This window comes from Homo sapiens, chromosome X (assembly GCF_000001405.40).
Source record: "Homo sapiens chromosome X, GRCh38.p14 Primary Assembly".
NCBI lineage: Eukaryota > Metazoa > Chordata > Mammalia > Primates > Hominidae > Homo > Homo sapiens.
In genome coordinates, this window is record NC_000023.11 from 11,681,072 (window position 1) to 11,687,753 (window position 6,682).

At 38.4% G+C, this 6,682-nt stretch overlaps 1 annotated feature.

Annotated features, from left to right (window-relative positions):
- Window positions 231-768: an enhancer, noted in NCBI's record as "NANOG hESC enhancer chrX:11699422-11699959 (GRCh37/hg19 assembly coordinates)". NCBI's record gives its function as "activates a minimal SCP1, AML or CMV promoter by ChIP-STARR-seq in naive H9 embryonic stem cells {active_cell/tissue: H9 hESC(naive)}" and the evidence as "EXISTENCE:reporter gene assay evidence [ECO:0000049][PMID:30033119]".

The following is a 6,682-nucleotide window of genomic DNA, read 5'->3' on the forward strand; positions in this document are numbered from 1 at the left end:
TTTTACAATTTCTGAGTAAATTCTGTAATAGAAATTTAATCAAAAAATTTTTTTCTCTGAAATGAATTTGGTCTTCGGAAAGTTGATTCATTCCATCAAGGCCACCCAATATTTGTTTTCCTGCATAGCATGTTTACAACAATGCATTGTAGGTGCTGAGGATTTTTTTCTCCATTATTAAACACAGGGCTTTCAAATAATCCATTTGTGATTTTATGGAAACTTTTCTAATGGATGGTGCTGCTTTTGAAGTTGCACACATTTATTCTGTGGAAAATATAAGTAACACTTGGCAGGAAAAAGAGCAGAAAAATTCTCAAAAGTAAGCCAAAATATTTATATATTTGTCCACAAAAGATATGCACCAATGATCCTAGGATATATAGGAAAATAAGCTTTGCCCTCAACACTTAGACCTAAACCCCTTTCAACAATGACATAAAAGATGCCACAGGCTTTCCCTTTGTTATGGGGTGGCCACAAGAATGTGAGTTGAGTGAGCTACTTAGTGTCCTCAGCACTATCTTTAGCTTCGAGTCTGGTGGTCCTTGTTGGAGCCAGACTTCTCTTGTTAACTCAAAACTGTTTTTACAGAATGTAAAATAGCTGTCTTACTATTCTTCATATTTTGGAAAAGATCATTTCAAGTTAATGTTAATCTTTGAGTTGATTCTGTTTCCTACACTACTTTGCTTCTGTCTAGTTGCTCTGCATTCTTACAACTTCAATTTGGATACTCTGTAGATGATTTACATTTGATTGATTTTATTTCCCCAATAGTATTTTAATGCCAATTGTTTTCCCCAAAGAAAATATATTGAATGGAATACAAAATAATTTTATCATTACAATGAATTTTTACATATTTAACTCTAGGCTGCTGGGTTATTTAAAAGGAAAAATCAGAATAGATTTATCTTCTAAATATGGTTGTCTCTCAGTATCAATGGGGATTGGTTCTAGGACCCCAATGGATACCAAAATCCATGGATGCTCAAGTCCCTTATACGAAATGGTATCATATTTGCATATAACCTAAGCACACCCTCCCATATACTTTATTTGTTTGTTTATTTATTTACTTAGAGACAGAGTTTCACTCCCTCATCCAGGCTGGAGTGTAGTGGCATGATCTTGGCTCACTGCAACCTCTGCCTCCCGAGTTAAAGCGATTCTCGTACCTCAGCCTCCTGAGTAGCTGGAATTGCAGGCACGCACCACCACTCCCAGCTAATTTTTGTATTTTTAGTAGAGATGTGGTTTCACCATATTGGTCCAGCTGGTCTCAAACTCCTGGCCTCAAGTGATCCACCCACCTCGGCCTCCCAAATTGCTGGGATTAAAGGCGTATCCTCCTATATAGTTTAAATCATCTCTAGATGACTTATGATACCAAATACAATGTAAATGATCAGTAAGTAGTTGTTATACTGTATTGTTTAGTAAATAATGACAAGAAAAAATGTCTGTACATCTTTGGTACAGATGAAACCATCCTTTTCAAAAATATACTTTTGATCTGTGGTTGATGGAATCCACAGATGCCAAACCCACAGATACAGAGGCTGACTGCTGATAATCTCTAATGTGTCCCAATTATTTTTGTGAACGTGCATATACATATATATACATACACACATACATATATACACATATATATATACATACATATATACATATACATATACATATATACATATATATGTATATACACACACGTATATACAGCATAGATGTTATAAATATGTCCACCTAGCTTTCTTCTGTATATATTTCTAATGGTTTTCCATGTGTAATAACTTCTCTTCAGTGAATGATGCCAGGGGAATTAAACACAGGAACTTTAAAAATTCACCCTTGGCTCTCAACAAGAAGGATAAATATCAAGTGATCACGTCCAAAGGCCATAAGACATCAAAGCAGGTTTTGATGCTTTAGCATATTACTTTACAGAAAACATAAAGTCTGCTTGAAAAGCTGGTATAAATACTGCCGAAGAAAGCAAGCTAAGGTGTGCCCACTAGCCAAATGCCCTTCCTCCTAAGGAAGGTATATTTTCCTACTGGGAGCTGGTGTATACCCATGTTTAAAAGTGTACTTTTCTCCAGGCAATTATATTCCTATCCTGTGCCTGTGGCCAAGAGTCTTCTACATGAAACCTAAGAAGCAAGTCACACAGGCCCTTGACACCAAGCACCCTGGGAATGCTCTTCCAAGGACACGATGAACAGCCTTCCTTGGCTCCCAGGAGTGCACATGCATACAGATCAACACTAACATATTCCTTATAAAGCTCACCATTCTCTTTAACTTTTTATTTGTAGAATTCCTTCAAATATTCCAAGCTGCATGTTCAGGGTGCACGTGGATTGATTTGGACCCTCAGTTTTGACTGGACACGTGGACCCTTCTAACAGTCATCAGTGCATATACCAATAGTCGCACTCAAGGAACATAACTACTAATAAGAATTATAGATGTTGAGTGCACATGGACACAAAGAAGGAACAATAGATACAGGGGCCTACTTGAGGGTGGGAGGAGGGTGAGGATCAAAAAATTACCCATCGGGTACTATGCTTATTACCTGGGTGACAAAATAATCTCTACACCAAACCCCCACAACACACAATTTACCCATGTCACAACCCTGCACATGTATCCCTGAACATAAAATAAAAGCTAGGAAGGAAAAGAAGAAACAGAAAACAAATAGCAAGATGGCAGATTTTAACCTTGCTTCATTAAATGTAATAGTATAAACATCTCCGATAAAAACATATGGATTGTAAGACTAGGAAAAAAATTATAGATGTTAAATAGAACTGTTTTTCTTCCTACTGCTTGGTAGAAAGGTATAAGCAAATACTTTCCCTCTGCAACTATTTGTTATCTAAATAATTCTAGAAAATAAAAATAGTATATCTATCTCACTTCTGGTACAATGAGAAAAGACATGAACTCCACAATGTTACTCCAAACGTTACTCTGAGAGAAATCTCAAGTTCACAAGTGGGAAACAAAGCAGTAGCCCCAAAGGACTGGAGTGGAGTAAGGGCTCAACCTAGATAAAGGTGCTCAAGAATTCCAGCCTAGTCCTGGAGGGGCATGGTTCATAAAATGGAATAGAGGAGGTAAGTCTGTTCTTCAGTCCAGAATTTACAAAATTTTCATCAGCACAGGGAGACCTGCCTCCACTGGCAAAAGGAAAACTAAATTTCCTCCAGCTCTGAAGTGAATAATTTAAACCATTTTGAGGTTCAAACAAAACAAAACACAATATTTTCTTTTTTGTGGTTGCACAAAAACTTCAAACTGATTGGAGATTTGGGAGTGTTAATTAGGCACATTTCCCCATCTAAGTGAGAAAAAAAGCCTCAAAGAGGGAATGAGAAGTAAAATACCAAGAATACCCATTTGACATTAGTTTACAATATGGTGGCCCCAAAACAATACTCTAAAGCCATTTGCAAGACTTTCCACATCAGTCAGCACGTCAAGCAGCCAAACAACCAGGTTAGTTTAGAATAAAAGATTTTCAGAACCAGAAGTTATCTTGGACCTGGTATAACCCATCTCCTTCAGTTATTGAGGAAACTGGGGCCATGCAAAATATTACTTGGTGAAAGTTACCCCAAGCTGGGTTTAGTCTTTGCATCTTATATTCGGGTATAAATAGTCTGGTTATTTTGTAACTGGAGTGCTTGAGTCTTCTGATCTGCTGGGTCCTTGAATATCCAAATAAACTAACTCGAGTCTAGTGTTTCTTTCACTTCACTATGTCCAGGCCTGCTCCAGTATTTTTAATGGGTTCTGGCTGCATCTGTGTCCTAGTGGTGGACATCTGTTGCTCCTCACCTGAACCACCCATCATCACCCATCCTCAGTTACTTCTCCAGGCTTCTTGCTACCTATGTTGTCAAACTACTTTGTCTAGGTTGGATGCACATAGGCTCCTCTCCTTCACTGTTAAGGTGCAACAAACAAAAGTGCCATACTATGCAACAAAGTCTACCAAAGGTTAAAAAAGGTGGAGAGTAAAATTGCTACATAGTTCCAGGAATCACTTAAAATTGGACATCAACATCCTCTGGGTTTCCTCAGCTATAGCTTCTGGAGGAATATAGCTTATGGAGAAATCTCTTATCAACTCTTTCCTCAGGCTTCAGCCTCCCAATGTATTGCCTCTCTCCTCTTCCTTCAGTTCTAAGACTTCAACTTCATCTCTCCCATGGTGGAAAGCAGGTATCTCCATCTTCCTCAAACTCCTGATCTGCGACTAGGTCCAGAGATGTGACCTTTGCAGAGCACAAAGGCTCATGAAGTGTTTTCCTAAACCAAAGAGAAGTTATTTTCCTCAATTCTATCTCCTAGCATACATACACAACTACCCTTCTAAACATCGCACTACTTTTTCTTGGGTCATGGCCATGTAAAACAAAATCAAAAGAGAACATCAAAATCTCAATCCAGAGGCCTTCTGCTCAACTTTCAAAGCCATTGTTGGTTTAGAAATTAATTGTGCTCCCTGGATACCTCTCCAACCCCTTACTTCTTTTGCATCTTCACTGCTATTGCCATGGACCAAGCATTCCCACCTCACTCTTTATTCTTGCCATAGCCTTCTAAATGTTTCTCCCTGATACCAGTCTCTTTCTCTTCCATTCACCTGGCCATTAAAGCTTTCTGTCAAAAATTCAACTTAATCATGACATACTGTCAGTTAAGTATCACAGGGACCCATCACCAGCTCTCAGAAGCACGTGTGGTCTTAACCAGTCACAATCTAGCCCCAACTTGGCATTTCATCCTCACATCCTTCCATCCTCCTAATGGCATCTTCTCTTTTCATACCTTGGTATCCTATTATTATTATTTTAGAGACAGGGTTTCACCCTGTTGCCCAAGCTGGGCTCAGACTCCTAGGCTCAAACAATCAGCCTCCAGAATAGCTGGGACTACAGACATGTGCCACTGGCTACCTTGGTATCTTAAATAGGCCTTTTCCTCTTTTGGGGGTGTGACATATAACCTCCTTAAAAACCAAGGCCCAACTTAAACATCACTTCTATGAAATCTTCCCTCTTAGTTCTCATAACCTTCAGTGCATGTCATCATTTTTGCAGTTTCCACATTATGTTGTTAATGTGGATGTGTCTCCCCAAGTAGACTGCAAAGTAAAAAAGGAACACCAGCTTTAGCTCACCTGGATTTCCTAGTACTCAGCATTCTACTTTGAATATAGGCTTGATAAATTTTTATTTAATTAAATTCTATGGACTTAGGGCTGCTTAACCATATCAAGAAATAAAGCATGATGTTTAAGATGTTGTGTGAAGCATTTTAAGTTCATTTCAACTTAAATTTCTTCAAAATAATGGAGGAGAGAGTACCTTGATTTATTTCATTCGAAACTATGCCAAAAATGTTTGCTAGATAATATTGGGGAAATTGGCTCCATTTATGAAGAAAAATACTTTGGATCACTATCCCAAATGATTGTGCAAAAGTAACCTCAAAATGAATTAAAAATCTAGAAATTAAAGTCATCCATCAAATTAGTAAAATGTAGTAAAAGTGTAAGATGGAAAACAAAGCAGTAATCAGAAGTAATGAAATAAAGTATGTAAAGTTAGATAGATCTTTAAAATAAGGAAAATAGTAAGAAACAGAATGAGATCTAGACTATAACAGTATTTATATAAATTAAAAATCAGAAATATGAAGATAAAAGCAACAATGAATGCTTTTTCAGGGGACTTTCTTATCGAAGATATATATTAACCATGTTACAGTGTAAGCCTAAAGCAAGGTACAGAATGAGAGAGAAAATTAGTAAAGTAAAAAAAAAGAAAAGAGATTACCCAAACAGATGGTAATATCAGACCTGGAATGAGAATTTTTCATGGGCACATTCAGATGTAAAGACATATATTGAACCTGTCAAGGTGGTATAGTATGAGAGGAAAATAAAAGGAAAAAATAATGAAAATTTTAAATGGATATTGTAGGTGATGGTGTATCATGCCCTGAGGAATATAAGTAACTCAGTTGTGGATCTTAGGTTTAAATAATGAAATTAAAAGCCTAAACAAGGGGACATTCCAGATTGATTACTTAGAACAACGGGGTCAGGGTCTGTAGAGCAGCAGAGCGTCTGTCTTCATGGTATGATGTCTCTTCTGGCATCTGAGGATCCCTTGGGAAGGCAGTGATGGAGAACAGGCCAAGGGTCAGACAGAAAATCCTAATGCCTGCTCTGCCTAGGACTTGCTGTGGGGCCCAACAGGCCACTCCACTCCCCTGGGCCTGGTTTCCTTATCAGAAAGTCACAGATAACAATCCTGACATGTCACCAGGGAGGGCTGCAAGGGGAGCAAGCAGAAGGGCCTGCACCTCAGAAATGAACCCTTTCCTTCCAAATATGAAATCCATTAAACAAAGCAGGGACTCCAGCTCCCAGATGGACACTGATGCCTGCCCCCCATTGTTAGAAGCCTGCAGCCATTATGTGGGAATTAGGGAGGGAGAGAACAAAGGAAGAGAAATGGCCCACCTATTGAACCCACATAGCTGTTGTGTGGCAGCTTTTGTTTTTGGATCTGTTGCAGCTCACTTTTCCACGTGTGTTTGGGTGATCTTCCAGATTCTAGGGATATATGGTGAACATAACCTAGACCTT